At 43.4% G+C, this 14,269-nt stretch overlaps 1 protein-coding gene and 2 long non-coding RNA genes across 5 annotated transcripts, besides 2 other annotated features; 2 read left to right on the forward strand and 1 right to left on the reverse strand.

The window, feature by feature from the left end:
• Positions 1–113: 113 nt before the first annotated feature.
• On the reverse strand, positions 114–12,450 carry CCDC43 (coiled-coil domain containing 43). Of its 2 annotated transcripts, NM_144609.3 has the most exons (5): positions 12,224–12,450; positions 6,546–6,633; positions 4,677–4,812; positions 3,259–3,317; positions 114–1,717 (listed from the first exon to the last, which is right to left on the reverse strand). In NM_144609.3, the coding sequence occupies exons 1-5, from the start codon at positions 12,425–12,427 to the stop codon at positions 1,530–1,532; spliced, it is 675 nt and encodes a 224-aa protein (NP_653210.2). In that variant the 5' UTR covers positions 12,428–12,450; the 3' UTR covers positions 114–1,529. The 2 variants fall into 2 exon arrangements, with proteins under 2 accessions (NP_653210.2, NP_001092695.1); NM_001099225.2 differs by lacking the exon at positions 3,259–3,317.
• LOC105371792 (uncharacterized) lies at positions 1,636–11,687 on the forward strand. Of its 2 annotated transcripts, none has more exons than XR_934780.1 (4): positions 1,636–1,723; positions 10,324–10,422; positions 10,528–10,697; positions 10,852–10,892. It is a non-coding gene; the product is annotated as an uncharacterized LOC105371792 (long non-coding RNA). The 2 variants fall into 2 exon arrangements; XR_007065769.1 differs by lacking the exon at positions 10,324–10,422 and adding an exon at positions 11,615–11,687 and having other exon boundaries at positions 1,638–1,723; positions 10,852–10,967.
• Positions 12,183–12,772: an enhancer, noted in NCBI's record as "H3K27ac hESC enhancer chr17:42766877-42767466 (GRCh37/hg19 assembly coordinates)". NCBI's record gives its function as "activates a minimal SCP1, AML or CMV promoter by ChIP-STARR-seq in naive H9 embryonic stem cells {active_cell/tissue: H9 hESC(naive)}" and the evidence as "EXISTENCE:reporter gene assay evidence [ECO:0000049][PMID:30033119]".
• Positions 12,441–12,580: an enhancer, noted in NCBI's record as "active region_12265". NCBI's record gives its function as "activates an Ori minimal core promoter by ATAC-STARR-seq in GM12878 lymphoblastoid cells {active_cell/tissue: GM12878}" and the evidence as "EXISTENCE:reporter gene assay evidence [ECO:0000049][PMID:35858748]".
• On the forward strand, positions 12,455–12,984 carry LOC124904010 (uncharacterized). The gene is made up of 2 exons (XR_007065770.1): positions 12,455–12,528; positions 12,669–12,984. It is a non-coding gene; the product is annotated as an uncharacterized LOC124904010 (long non-coding RNA).
• The last annotated feature ends 1,285 nt before the right edge of the window (positions 12,985–14,269 follow it).

The following is a 14,269-nucleotide window of genomic DNA, read 5'->3' on the forward strand; positions in this document are numbered from 1 at the left end:
TAGGGCTAATCAAAACAAAGCATAAAATAAAAATCAACACATTCCTAAGTAACTACTCACACATATTTCATTTCCATGGGTACGTAGAAGCAATCAAAATAAGTCAGAAGACAGCAATTTAAATAAGATTTATTTTTTTAAAGGTGGTTATTTTTATTTTTTGCAATGCCACAGTTATAGGAGTGTATGAAGAGGTAACATGTCTCCTTTTCCTTAACCATGTTTTTTTTTTTTTAACCTTCTGCACAAAGGTAAAAGTTTTTGTTAATCTCATAGTTAATGGTATAAAACAGAGATTGGCAAACCTTTCCTCCAACAGGCCAGGTAGTAAATATTTTAGATTTCACAGACCACATATTTTTTTCTTTTATAACTCTTTAAAAATGTAAAAATCATTTTTAGTTTGCACCATACAAAAACAGACTGGGCCAAATTCGGCCCGTGGGCAGTAGTTTGCCAACCCCTGGTATAAAATATCTACTTTGTCTTGTCAGAGAAATTGCTGTCCTTAGGCTTCTAGACAATCTGCTGCCTGAAGTCAAGTGGAGAAGGGCCTTATTTACAATTTAATGTGGTTTGTGACAGAAGTAGAAATGGAGAGCTTCTGCTCACTTTTGACTCTCCCAGTTTTTCCATTCACTCATTCATTCAATAAATTTGTTGAGCACCTACTATGTACACTCTTAAATATCTTGGTGTTAGCAGAAATTTCCAGTGTTTCTTCCTTAAAAGGGTGATTTCTCCAGTTTCTCCAAACCAGGAATTATTTCTTAATACTCATGTTTTATGGAAAAATCAGGATTAAAATCTCTACCAGCACACAAGAGGATACATGATTATACAAAATGAATCTAGCCAACAATGATATCCTTGCACCCAATAGTGACACAGCCTAGATGAGGAAAATATGTAACTATCTCTATTTTAAAAGATACCTCTTTTCCTCCCACAGGCTGAAACTTTCAAAAAAAAAAAAAAAATCAGATCTAGAACACCCCGCAAGTAATTTCTTCCCATTTTCCTAGTTTTGCTGCCATGTTAACATAAAATCTGGATCCAGGTAGGCCTCTTCATTAGCTTTCTATTTCAGCCATAAAACAATACTACACTTACAGCTGAATACTGACTCCAAAGCAATGTGCATGCCCACATTTTATCTCAGGGAGGGATTGATTATGTTTCTGCTCCTTCAGAATGAAAACTGTTAGCTTTCTGAATCCTATTTATCCAAGGTGAGGGAAGACTTTTTAAAGTGGCCAAAAGGAGCACAGGACTTGAGTATTAAAATATAAAGGTGGCCCCCATTCCAGATCTTTGGTACAGTCATCAACTATAATAATCTGATTGCCCACCCCACCAAAACAGCACATTTTGTAATTAGAAGTGATTTTGATTTTCCTTTTGACCATGTAAACAATAGGGGAAATGCCTTGGGAAACTACTTTGCAATGCACTCTCATTTCTCTTAAATACACAACCAGTTCTCCCTTTGATAAGTTCATGGGGGGAAAGAATAGAGTAGGCCAAGGTTATCGCTTTCGCTCCCCTCTCTGTGTCCTTTTTTTTTCCTTTTCCTTGCGCTCCTGCTTGGCTAGTTTGTCTCTCTCCCTCTGCAGCTTGTCCTGTTCCTTCTTCCTTTGGGATTCATCCCGAAGTGAGTCTCGCTCCAGTTTTCGGGCATTAAGGACATCTTCCACATTGGTGTTTCGGAACAGAACTACAGGTGAGTTAAGGGATTAGGGTACAGGTCACACAGATCACACCTACTGCTGCCTTTCCTCATTCTACTTATCCTCTCTCCACCTGCTGAGTCCTGAATCGTCTTTATCTATTCCTGGTTTTTTAAAAAAAACCCTTATGTTTATCCTTGGTCTAACAGAGAAATCCTAAAGCTATATTACAAAAGTTTTAAAATGTCCTTTGGAATAAAACTCTTATTCAGATTTACCTAAATCTGAATTTTAAAATATTTTACCAAAGAAACAAAAAAATAAGAAAACAAAATATTTCATCAAAATGAAATTTCATTCTAGAATAAGTACTTATATCATTCAATGGCAGAATATTAGAGAATCTAGGCTAGTTTTGGTGAACAGAGTAGTAATGTAACTGACTAAATGTTTATGTACTTGGCTCTGTTAAAATGCCTTAAAAGAGTTAAATAAGATGTTTAACCTTATTAAACTTTATCAATTTGCTTTTGTTCCTAGACTACTAAAGCTGAAGTGAAAACCACATTCTAATAACCATACACACTGAATCTATAAGAGATAGAAAATGAGTTTAGGCTGGGCGCAGTGGCTCATGCCTGTAATCCCAGCACTTGGGAGACTGAGGCAGGTAGATCATGAGGTCAGGAGATCGAGACCATCCTGGCTAACAGGTGAAACCCCGTCTCTACTAAAAATACAAAAAATTAGCCGGGCATGGTGGCACACACACCTGTAGTCCCAGCTACTCGGGAGGCTAAGGCAGGAGAATCACTTTAACCCAGGAGGCGGAGGCTGCAGTGAGCCGAGATCGCACCACTGCACTCCAGCCTGGGCAACAGAGCGAGACTCTGTCCCAAAAAAAAGAAAAAAAAAAGTGTTTGGTGTTTGTATTCTCTGACAAATTATAAGGTTTTTGAGGAAAAAGAGAAAATTTCAACATTATTTTATTATTTTTTGAGACACAGTCTCACTCTCATATCCCAGGCCAGAGTGCAGTGGCAAGATCTCGGCTCACTGCAGCCTTGACTTCCTGGGCTCAGGTGATTCTCCCACCTCAGCCTCCTGAGTATCTGGGACTATGACTATAGGCACATGCCACTACACCTGGCTAGTGTTTTGTATTTTTTTTAGTAGAGACAGGGTTTTGCCATGTTGCCCAGGCTGGTCTCAAACTCCTGGGCTCAAACGATCCACCTGTCTCGGCTTCCCAAAGTGCCAGGACTACAGGTGTAAGCCATCACGCCTGACCTCAATATTATTTTAATTTTCTCCCTAATGCTGGGCAACTCAGAGTATAGATTTTTATTTTTCCCTTAGAAATCCTTCCTCCAAACTAATCCCTTTACAGTACTTGTTAACTTGTTTTCTCTGGGGAAAGTTCTTGCTAAACTGACTATCTAGGGCTGTCCTAGGAATAGGGCTCCCAATGTTAGCATGACATGAGTTCCTGAAGGTAAAGGGGAGCCGCCAGCAATGACAGCAAAATAAAAACTGATCTCAAGAGGACTCTATGGAGAAACACATAGGGAGGGACCCAGAAGGATACGTTTGTCAGAACCAATGTTCATTGTGGTAGCACCTGAATCATCCTTCTCATCTGCTTCAGTAAGTGATGTTAAGGAAAGTCAGATGGAAAACAACATCCCAACCTAACATTAGAAAACATTCAATAGACTGGTAAGTAGGAAAAGCACACTGAATGGAGGGAGCACATTATCAGGGATATGGCGATAAACCCAGGAGATTCATCTTTGGAAACCTCAACTTAGGAAAGATTGATATATCTTCTATAAGATCCTTTTCTTGGAGGCTGAAAAGAAACTTAAGTTGGTCTGGGTGGATTGCCACATTACCTGGAAGCCAGATGACCTTTAAACAGTGGTTCTCAAAGTGTGGTTCACAAAACCCCCAGGAATATATTAGAAATACACATTCTTGGGACCTATGCCAAACCTACTAAATTGTGGGTGAAGCCCAGCAATCTGTGTTTTAACAAGTCCTCCAGGAGAACCACTGCTTTAAAAGTCCTTTTCTAGCCCAAGATGAGAAATTATGTCACCGGAACCATAGCTCTGCCAACCCTGGCAAGAAAACTCGTAAAAAAAAAATTAGAAGAGAGGCCAGGCGCGGTGGCTCACGCTTGTAATCCCAGCACTTTGGGAGGGTGAGGCAGGCAGATCATGAGGTCAGGAGATCGAGACCAGCCTGGCTAACATGGTGAAACACTGTCTCTACTAAAAATACGAAAAATTAGCTGGGCGTGGTGGCACGTGCCTATAGTCCCAGCTACTCGGGAGGCTGAGGCAGGAGAATGGCTTGAACCCGGGAGGCAGAGGTTGCAGTGAGCCGAGATTGTACCACTGCACTCCAGCCTAAGCGACGAAGCGAGACTCTGTCCAGAATTATTCTGGTATTGCTTTGGAGGTTCAGCCTTACTTTTAACTACCTGGTCACATAAGAAAGAAAAGATGCAAGCTGCTCTAAATTTAGAGAATCTTTCACCCAAAAATACCCAGGTTCTAGTCCTGGTTTTGCCACTAATCTTCTGAATGCCTCTGATCACCCATTCATCTGTTGGTGTCTCAGTTTCCTTATTGACTGGGAAAGAACATAAAGATGGATTATACTTTATACTACACTGTATAGAAAAGTATTATACAAATATAAAGAATTACAGCTATATTGTATTTTCTGAAAGCATAATATAAATGGACTATTAAGACATTATTTGTTTTACACCAAAGTTTTCAGGAATATAATGATTATGTGTTGAAAAATATAAGTCCAGTATCAACTAATCCAATATCACTCCGCATATCCACAAAGGGCCATAGATTACTGCCATTTTAGAGGGGAAAATTAAGCTATAGAGGGGGATTAGCAACTTGCCAAAGGTCACTGTAAACCCACAAATATGTCTGGCTTGAGCTTTAGGGAATGGTGCCGAGACTCCAGAAAGGATATTCCTCTTCATCTGTCACATCAGCATACTGGGCCAGGAGGGCAGCTTTTCTCTGCTTCTCCTCTTCTGACACCATCCTTGGCTTTACTACGATTTGTGCCTGCTTCTCAATTAGGGTGGCAATGGCCTGTACTTCATCTGGGAGGTGGTGGAAGGAAGAACAAGGTTGTATGAGAGAGAACAAGCTCACTGAACCACTAGTCCACATAGGCAGCACTTGTACTGAAGACATTGGCATCTGCTGCCTCCTTAGAGCCTGGCAGTTCAAAGGACATGGCTCGGGGGCCATTGAGAAAGGAAAGGAAAGGCCATGCAGGCCAAGCTTTGTATCCATCTTCAATCAGAGCAGCCCTGATTTTACTTGTTTTATATACTGAAGTTCTGCTGCCTTAAAAAAAAAAAAAAAAAAAAAAGGTTGAAAAGCACTGCATTAGAACCACAGAAAACTAAGCCTCTGAACACTCAACTTCCCCATGGCATCCCAAAAACCTAAGCAGGAATCTAAAATCAACTTAAGCTGGTCCTGTTTATGTTTCTGATTATGCCAGGTGGAATTCTTAGATTAAGAATATTTTGGCCGGGCGCGGTGGCTCACGCCTGTAATCCCAACACTTTGGGAGGCCAAGGCAGGTGGATCATGAGGTCAGGAGATCGAGACCATCCCGGCTAACACAGTGAAACCCCGTCTCTACTAAAAATACAAAAATTAGCCAGGCGTGGTGACGGGCGCCTGTAGTCCCAGCTACTCGGGAGGCTGAGGCAGGAGAATGGCGTGAACCCGGGGAGGCGGAGCTTGCAGTGAGCCGAGATCACGCCACTGCACTCCAGCCTGGGCGACAGAGCAAAACTCCGTCTCAAAAAAAAAAATATTTTGCCATGCTATAAAATAAAATCAACTAGTAAGTTCTCCAGTCTCAAGAAAAGGAAACAATGGTGTAAAATAGTAGTTCTCACACTTGGTTGCACATTAGAATCACCTACAGGAGCTTTTAAAAAATACAAATGCCTGGGCCCCAACCCAGGTACATTAAGTGATTCTAATATACAGCCAAAACTGAGAACCAACAGTGTACAGAGTTCAGAATCTTTCCAAATTTGGCTTTTATGATTTGAGTTTTCTGTACCTAATTTACCATCCTAGTGGTGGGTATATTCGCCCATTTCTCTTCCATTTTAAAGGGTAAAGTGTTTAGCTGAATAAAGCCAAATACCAACCATAATTTGTGTTATGAAATGACAACATGAGGCAGGGTGCTGTAGCTCATGCCTGTAATCCCAGCACTTTGGGAGGCTGAGGTGGGCAGATCACATGAGGTCAGGAGTTCGAGACCAGCCTGGTCAACATGGTGAAATCCCCATCTCTACTAAAAACACAAAAATTAGCCAGGCATGGTGACATGAGCCTGTAGTCCCAGCTATTCACGAGGCTGAGGCACAAGAATCACTTGAATCTGGGAGGCAGCAGTTACAGTGAGCTGAGATTACGCCACTGCACTCCAGCCTGGGTGACACAGCAAGACTCTGTCTCAAAAAAAAAAGACAACATGAAAAAAGTAGGAAGTGGTAAAAATATAGTTGACTCCATACCTGCAATGCAAATCTACAAGAAGCAGTGGAAAGATGATGAAAAAGAAAAAGTAAAAAACCACAATGAAGAAAACTGTGGTCAGTCGAAATGGAAAAATGCAAAAAAAGAAAAGGAAGCCAATGTTCAGTAAAGGTAACACAGGCTGTTGGGTGTTTGCCAGTGTACACTATCTTCGGGAAAATGAGCATCCAAGGGGAAAATGAAAAGATCTCTTCCTAACAGCTATACAGTCAAGGCTGCTGGAAAAGGCTCAGGAAGTTAAACACAGAAACTCTGACTCTACCTTCTTTTTTCACTTTGGTGACAACATTCTGAGTTTCTGACCATCGTTCCACAATCTCCTTGCAGATATTAAGGAGGGAATCTTCTTCCTAGTTGGAAAAGCAGACCAATTAATTTCCTGAGGGAGCCCTCAAAAACAATAGTAACCTCAAAAAAGCCTATGAAGAAAGCACAGCTCTCCATGCTGTGAAATTATGGAAGGGTCTGGGAGCCACAATAGAGTATGTTTCTTTTCTGAGGCTCTGGACACAGAATTGATCCTGCTTGTGTGTCCCAGAACCCACACCTCCTACATCAAGAACAGCCACTCCATCCTGATAAGCTCCAAGGGAAGATTCATACCAACTCAGGGCAGCCTTCCTCATTCTCTCTTAAAATATTTATTTTATTTTTAATTGACAAATAATAACTGTATATATTATATATATGTAGGGTACCCTGTGATGTCTCAATATATGTTCACATTGTAGAATAATTAAATCAAGCTAATTAACAAATCTATCACCTCACATATTTCTCATTTTTTTGGTGATGAAAACATTTAAGGCTGGGTGCAGTGGCTTACGCCTGTAATCCCAGCACTTTGGGAGGCTGAGGAGGGCGGATCACTTGAAGCTGGGAGTTCAAGACCAGCCTGGCCAACGTGCTGAAACCCCATCTCTACTAAAAATACAAAAATTAGCCGGGTGTGGTGGCACATGCCTGTAATCACAGTACTCGGGAGGCTGAGGCACAAGAATAACTTGAACCCAGGAGGCAGAGGTTGTGGTGAGCCGAGATCACGCCACTGCACTCCAGCCTGGGAGAGGGGAGAGAAATTGTCTCAAAAAAAAAAAAGAAAGAAAGAAAGAAAACATTTAAAATGTACTCTTTTAGTAATTTTGAAGTATACAATGCATTATTATTTATTTATTATTATTACTTTTTAGAGACAGGGTCTCACTCTGTTACCCAGGCTGGAGTGTAGTGGTGCAATCACAGCTCACTGTAACCTCAAACTCCTGGGCTCAAGCAATCCTCCTGCCTCAGCCTCTCAAGTAGCTAGGACTGCAAGCATGTACTACCACACCTGGCTAATTGAGTTTGTTGTTTTTTTTAAAAGATGGGGTCTCACTATCTTACCCAGGCTGGTCTCCAGCTCCTGACCTCAAGCAATCCTCCCATCTTGGCCCCCTAAAGTGTTGGGATTACAGGCCTGGGCCACCACATCCAGCCGATTATTACTTATTATAGTCACCATTCTATGCAACAGATCACTAAAGTATATTCCTTCTGTCTAACTGCAATTTTATACCCTTTGATCAACAATCTTCCCTTTTCCCATCCACCTCCCCCAATTCTTTTGGAGCAAAAACCTGTTCCCTAAGTCAAAACTCCTCTGTGAAATATTCCTTGGCTGACGTATACAATTCAGAACCTTCCCTAAGGTTATCAACTTTCATGCTAGATCATATCCATTAGCTTGCTGACACATAATAAAGAGGAGATACATGACAAAATGGTCTCTTGTCCAACCATCCCGCTGTCCATTTTAGAGAAGCATACATATTCTGCATACCAACCAATCTCCCTCCTCAGCATGATATAACAAAAATCTTGTCTTTAGTGTTAGAGATACTTAAGTTCAAATCCCAGATCTGTGAGGAAGTTTCTTAACTTTCTGATCTTCACATCCTCCCAGGATTTTACTGAGGATAAATGAAAATGTATATAAATGCCTACCCTACTTGTCAAAGAACAAGCATCTAATAAACACGAGCACTTCCCTCCATCTTCATTACGGCTGCATTCCCCACCTTCACGTTCTACCTCTCAGGGCAAGCTGTCAGCATTCACATTTATTAAGCATTTACCATGTGCCAGGCACTGCTCTAAAAGCCTTACATGAGAACTCTCAATTATTAAAATAATGCCATTAAGTACTATTTTACTCTCAATTTATAGAAGAGGAAACCAAAGCACAGAGGTTAATTACTTTGCCCAAGGTCTTACAAGTAATAATGGATTAAACACAATTTGAACCCCAGCAGTTTGGCTTAGAGCCCATGTTCTTTTTTTTTTGAGACGGAGTCTCGCTCTGTTGCCCAGGCTGGAGTGCAGTGGCGCGATCTCGGCTCAATGCAAGCTCTGCCTCCTGGGTTCACGCCATTATCCTGCCTCAGCCTCCCAAGCAGCTGGGACTACAGGCGCCCGCCACCACGCCCAGCTAATTTTTTGTATTTTTAGTAGAGACGGGGTTTCACCATGTTAGCCAGGATGGTTTCGATCTCCTGACCTCGTGATCCGCCTGCCTTGGCCTCCCAAAGTGCTGGGATTACAGGCGTTAGCCACCGCGCCCAGCCGAGCCCATGTTCTTAACCATCTCCCAAAGAAAAGTGGAGAGTCAGAACACAGACTTATTATGTATATCCTTATTTTGTACCCAGCAAAGGATTTCTTCCTCTACCTTGCATCCTTTTAGCTACATGCTAGACACACAGAACTTCCTTGGTCCAGAGTTTCAATAGTTCATGGGTTTCCCCCAACCCCCACCAGCAAGAAAAGCAAAGAAACAGAAAAAGAAAAAAGGATGAGAAAGTGGTACAGCTCTTTTAAAATCCCCCACCAAAAGAAAAAGAATGGCAGGAAAAGGAGCAGCAGAGAGGCAAAAGAGAACGGGAACTCTTAAGAGGACAAAGTGGTTTATTTCCTCAGTCTCCTCATCCAAATCAATGTAGTTCAATCATCCATTCCTTCATTTATTTATACAGAAGGTGCCTGCTATGTTCAAGGCACTAAGAGGAAAGTTTATCCTACTTACAATGCTCCTTTTTCCCTGGCACTTATCACTTTGTAACATACTATATAATTTACTAGTGATGCTTTTCCATGCTAGAATGTAACCGCATGAGGGCAGGAATTTCTATCTGTTTTATTCTTTGAAGTGCCCCAAGCACTTAGGGTAGTGCCTGGCATACGGTAATCCATCAATAAAAATTTGATAAATCAATCAACCAATGCAAGTACTATTGAAGAGAAGGATGATAAAAGTTTTTGTTTACTGTTATTTGCTCCTAACTATATGCCACTGTTCTTGAATTTTACCTCAGATTATTGCTAACAAACTTCTAAATTCCTCATATTAAATCCTAGCCCAAGTCAGGCACAGAGGCTCACATCTGTAATCTCAGCACTTTGGGAGGCCAAGGCAGGAGGATGTCTTGAGCCCAGGAGCATAAGACCACCCTGAGCAACATGGCAAAACCCTGTCTCTACAAAAAAAAATTTTTTTTTTTTAATTAGCCAGGCATGGCTGGGTGTGGTGGCTCACGCCTATAGCCCCAGCACTTTGAGAGACTGAGATGGGTGGATCACTTGAGGTCAGGAGTTTGAGACCAGCCTGGTCAACATGGTGAAACCCCATCTCTACTAAAAATATAAAAATTAGCCAGGCATGGTGGCATATGCCTGTAATCCCAGCTACTCGGGAGGCTGAGAATCACCTGAACCCAGGAGGCAGAGGTTACAGTGAGCCGAGATTTTGCTACTGCACTCCAGCCTGGGTGACAGAGTGAGACTTTGTCTCAAAAAATAAAACATAAAACATAAAAAAAAAAGTTAGCCAGGCATGATATGTGATGGCAGGTGCCTGTAGTCCTAGCTACTTGGGAGGCTGATGAGAGGGGATTGCTTGAGTCCAGTCGTTCAAGGCTACAGTGAGTTATGATCACATTACTATAACAGAGCGAGACTCTCTTAAAAAAAAAAAAAGGCAAACTAATGTCTACCTTTATCAACAGAAACAGCTCCAAATAATGATGGACTGATCAAGAAGCTGGTACCAAGAAGTCTCAAAGTTATTTCAACAGCTTCATGGAGTGTTTAGAAACTTCCCAGCTGTAAATAAAAACTACCTTAAATTGCTTGCCTCCTACTCTTTCTCCCTATAATCTGTAATGTTGTGGTCCAAAAAAAGAATTGATTCCACTGTCTTGTATTTCCAGTGAACTTCCAAGCTTCCTCACAGGCTGTGTTAAAGTTTTCCCATTTATAAGCCAATCTTGCCAGAAGAGGCTCTGGAACTCAAATGGGTTACTGCCAGAAGAATCTGGGACAGCTGCACTAGTGTTATATTTCAACCATGTACCCAATCTATGAACTGCTTCCACCAAATGTGAGTGATTTTTTCCTAGCACTTGTTTCCGCTTTCACAAAACACTTTTGGATTTGAAAATGTTTCTGCCTTCTACCCTTTTAAAAAAATGAGATATGAATATGTACATTTATATCTATATATATTTATACTAATTTTTTTTTCTTTGAGACAGGGTCACTCTGTCACCCAAGCTGGAGTGCAGTGGCACAATCACGGCTCACTGCAGCCACAGCCTCCTAGGCTCAAGTGATCCTCCCACTTCAGACTTCTGAGTAGCTGGGACTACAGGTATGCGCCACCATACCTGGCTAATTTTTTAAATTTTTTTGTAGAGACAGGGTCTTGCTATGTTGCCCAGTGTGGTGTGGAACTCTTGGCCTCAAGCAATCCTCCCACCTCAGCCTCCCAAAGTGGTGAGATTACAAACATGAGCCACTGTGCCCCACCTCATGGTACATTTTGATTCTATTACTAGCCTTTCAAAATTGGTTTTGAGAATAACAAAGAACCCATTTTTCTAACCTGTCCATTGTAATAAATGCCAGAGGATAAAGCCTTTGATGGACAGACAGGTGGCTCTCACAGTAGCAATCAGGTATCCAGGATCTCCTCTAATCCATGAATGCAGAGACAACTCTAGCTTCTACAGCATTTAGTGATGATTCAAGTAAATTTTATTTTTAAGCTTGTATTTAAAAGGAAACAATTTGTTAGACAGCCACAGGTAGCACCTACAACCAATTTAATCTGTAATAACCAGTCTAATAAGTGTGTATGTTGGAGGTGTGGGAAGTGAAGATGAAGGCAGCAGAAATGATCAGGTTGAAAAAGTGGACATCTGGGTGACTTACTATGTAAACATAGCTTAAAGTACACATTTCTGAATACCTTGCTTCTAACAGGCTAAGGACTAAGTTTCTCTCTCTTCGTTAAAGCTCTGATCTCTCTCATACCCTCCTTCCCACCACCAATGATTACTGTAAATACTGTAATGGATCAAGCACGACGTTTGCTTCAGTTCTGCGTGGGCATGAAAAGACTTCTACCACCAGCTTACCTTTTATGGACTCCTACATCCATATAAGAATCAAAAGGGCACTTCCTGCAGGCTTCTGTCATGGGACAGCCCTGGGAACTGCCTTGTAATAGGCACAGACCTCCCAAGAGCATTTTAATACCCCCAGTGAACACTGTAAACGGATGGAAATGGAATTGGTCGTCAGATATTTATGATAACATTCCCATTCTGACATTTCAATGCCTTCGGAAGAACCCTCCTCGGCTCACTCACAAGCATCGGAGAGGGCCTTGTCCCCAAGAATACGAGAAAGCCCTTCCTCTCTGTGTACCTGCAGCTTTCAGGCTTCCCACACCTGGTTGGGGAGCAACCTCCTTCCCCCGCCGCCCAGATATCAGAGGAGTATACCTCTCCCAGGTGAGACCACTGAGCCTCTGGGATACCCGGTAGGGGAGGGAGGGTGCAAAGTACTGACAGGTCCTCAGATGCTGGCCAGAGGCTGAAGGAATGTGTCCAGGCTACTCACCAGGAAAGCAGAGAGGATCCCCTGCAGAGCGTCCAGCTTCTCTTCTTCCTCCTCCTCCTGCAGGATACCCAAGATGTAGGCTCCATAAACGGCTCGGTCCACTCCCAGTGCCTCCAACCGTCCGTCCAGCCAGGAGCCAAAGCCGCCGCCTCCGCCATCGCCTTCGCCAGGGGCTATCGCGGCCACTTCGCTGGGCGCCGCCATCTTGGGGTCAGGGTCCTGCAAGCCCCTAGGGCGCCTACCGCAGTGCCTGACGGGCCGCGCCGCAGGTCCACCGCGCATGCCTGAAGAGGAAGCCCAGGCCCGTAAGTGCAAAGAGCGCAGCCGTGTCGGCCGGCTTGAGAGTTTTGTGCTTTCTAGATGAAGCGCGTCTTCGCATACGTGCGGTCGCGTGATCTCACAAGATGCTTGGCATGTGAGTATTCTTAACAGACTCATTCTACAGTTCGGGAAGTTGAGAGAGGTGCAGTAATTTGGCCAAAGTCACGCGGCTAATAACTACCCAGGACTGGAGCTCAGCGTGGATGCCATCGCTTCCTCCACCCGACCGAGCTGCCTTCCCCGCGCTTTCGGGGGATGCTGGCCGCCCACTCCCACACAGCTGTCTGGCAAGAACCTCCTGACAGCCTGGAATACCCTCGTCGTCGCTACCGACGGCTACCACCTTCACCTGTACAAGCCCTTCCCTGTCAAAGTAAAGGTTGCAGAAAACCTTCCCTGATTCCATGGTAGGCACTCAGTAAATAAACAGGCAACCTCAAGTTATTTCTTCCACTCATTGATTCAACGCGTGCACGGGACTATTCTTTGAGAAGCGTACCCCACCCTCTGCTAGGCACTGTGCCAAAAGCTTTTCATGCATTATCTCTTGTAATCCTCCCTACAGCCCTGTGGGGAGATGCTTTTATTGTCCACATTTTAAAGATAAGGAGACAGGCCGGGCGCCATGTCTCACGCCTGTAATCCCAACAGTTTGGGAAGCCGAGGCGGGTGGATCACCTGAGGTCAGGAGTTCGAGACCAGCCTGGCCGACATGGTGAAACCCCGTCTCTAGTAAAAATACAAAAATAAGGCCGGGCACGGTGGCTCACTCCCGTAATCCCAGCACTTTGGAAGGCCAAAGTGGGCAGCTCACCTGAGGTCTGGAGTTCGAGACTAGCCTGACCAAAATGGAGAACCCCCGTCTCTACTAAAAATACAAAATTAGCCGGGCGTGGTGGGACATGCCTGTAATCCCAGCTACGTGGGAGGCTGAGGCAGGAGAATCGCTTGAACCCAGGAGGCGGAGGTTGCGGTGAGCAGAGATCGTGCCATTGCACTCCAGCCTGGGCAACAAGAGCGAAATTCCGTCTCAAAACAAACAACAACAACAACAAAAGCCAGGTGTGGTGGCGCGGGCCTGTAATCCCAGCTACTCAGAATCGCTGGAACCCGGAAGGCGGAGGTTGCAGTGAGCCAAGATCGCGCCGCTGCACTCCAGCCTGAGCGACAGTGAGACTCCATCTCAAAAACAAACAAACAAACGAACAAACAAAATCACTAAAGATAAGGAGACAGATATGGAGAGAGTCACACAACTAGAGGGCGCCTAACCAGTGGCAAGAACTCTTCTTTGGCAGAGTTATGAGAGCTTCAGCTGACGTCAAAACACCTGGCTCTGGGCTGGAATGAATTACCCAAGAATTTGGTTGGCTTTAGCTGAAGTGCAGAGGAAGCTGGCAAGGTCCTGGCTAACTCCTTCCTCAAATATGTACTGAGTACCTTCAGTATGGCATTGTTGCTGGCACTGAAAACACAAAAATGAATGTCACAAAATATATGTCCTCAGGGGTTTTTAATCCATTAGGAACAGACATGTTTAAACAAATGATGACAATATAGTGATATAAATGTTTTAATGGAGCTTTATCTAGCGGAGATTGCAGTAGGATGCCTAGAAGATTGAGTTAACTTTACCTGTTGGAGTGGAGTTGGAAGCAGGTGGGGAGAGGTTCATAGGAAATCCAGGAAGGCTTCCCAGTGGAGATGATGCTTGAACTTTCTTGA

This window comes from Homo sapiens, chromosome 17 (assembly GCF_000001405.40).
Source record: "Homo sapiens chromosome 17, GRCh38.p14 Primary Assembly".
In the NCBI taxonomy this organism is placed as follows: domain Eukaryota; kingdom Metazoa; phylum Chordata; class Mammalia; order Primates; family Hominidae; genus Homo; species Homo sapiens.

What these genes read in the sequence shown, in the direction of transcription:
- CCDC43 (NM_144609.3), bottom strand. Translation starts at nt 12,427, where the DNA reads ATGGCGGCGCCCAGCGAAGTGGCCGCGATAGCCCCTGGCGAAGGCGAT. An exon ending in CACCAAAGTGAAAAAAGAAG is followed by an intron (nt 4,813 to 6,545) that starts GTAGAGTCAGAG and finishes ACCACCTCCCAG; the next exon opens with ATGAAGTACAGGCCATTGCC. An exon ending in GAACATTGGTTCTGACAAAC is followed by an intron (nt 1,718 to 3,258) that starts GTATCCTTCTGG and finishes ACTCACCTGTAG; the next exon opens with TTCTGTTCCGAAACACCAAT.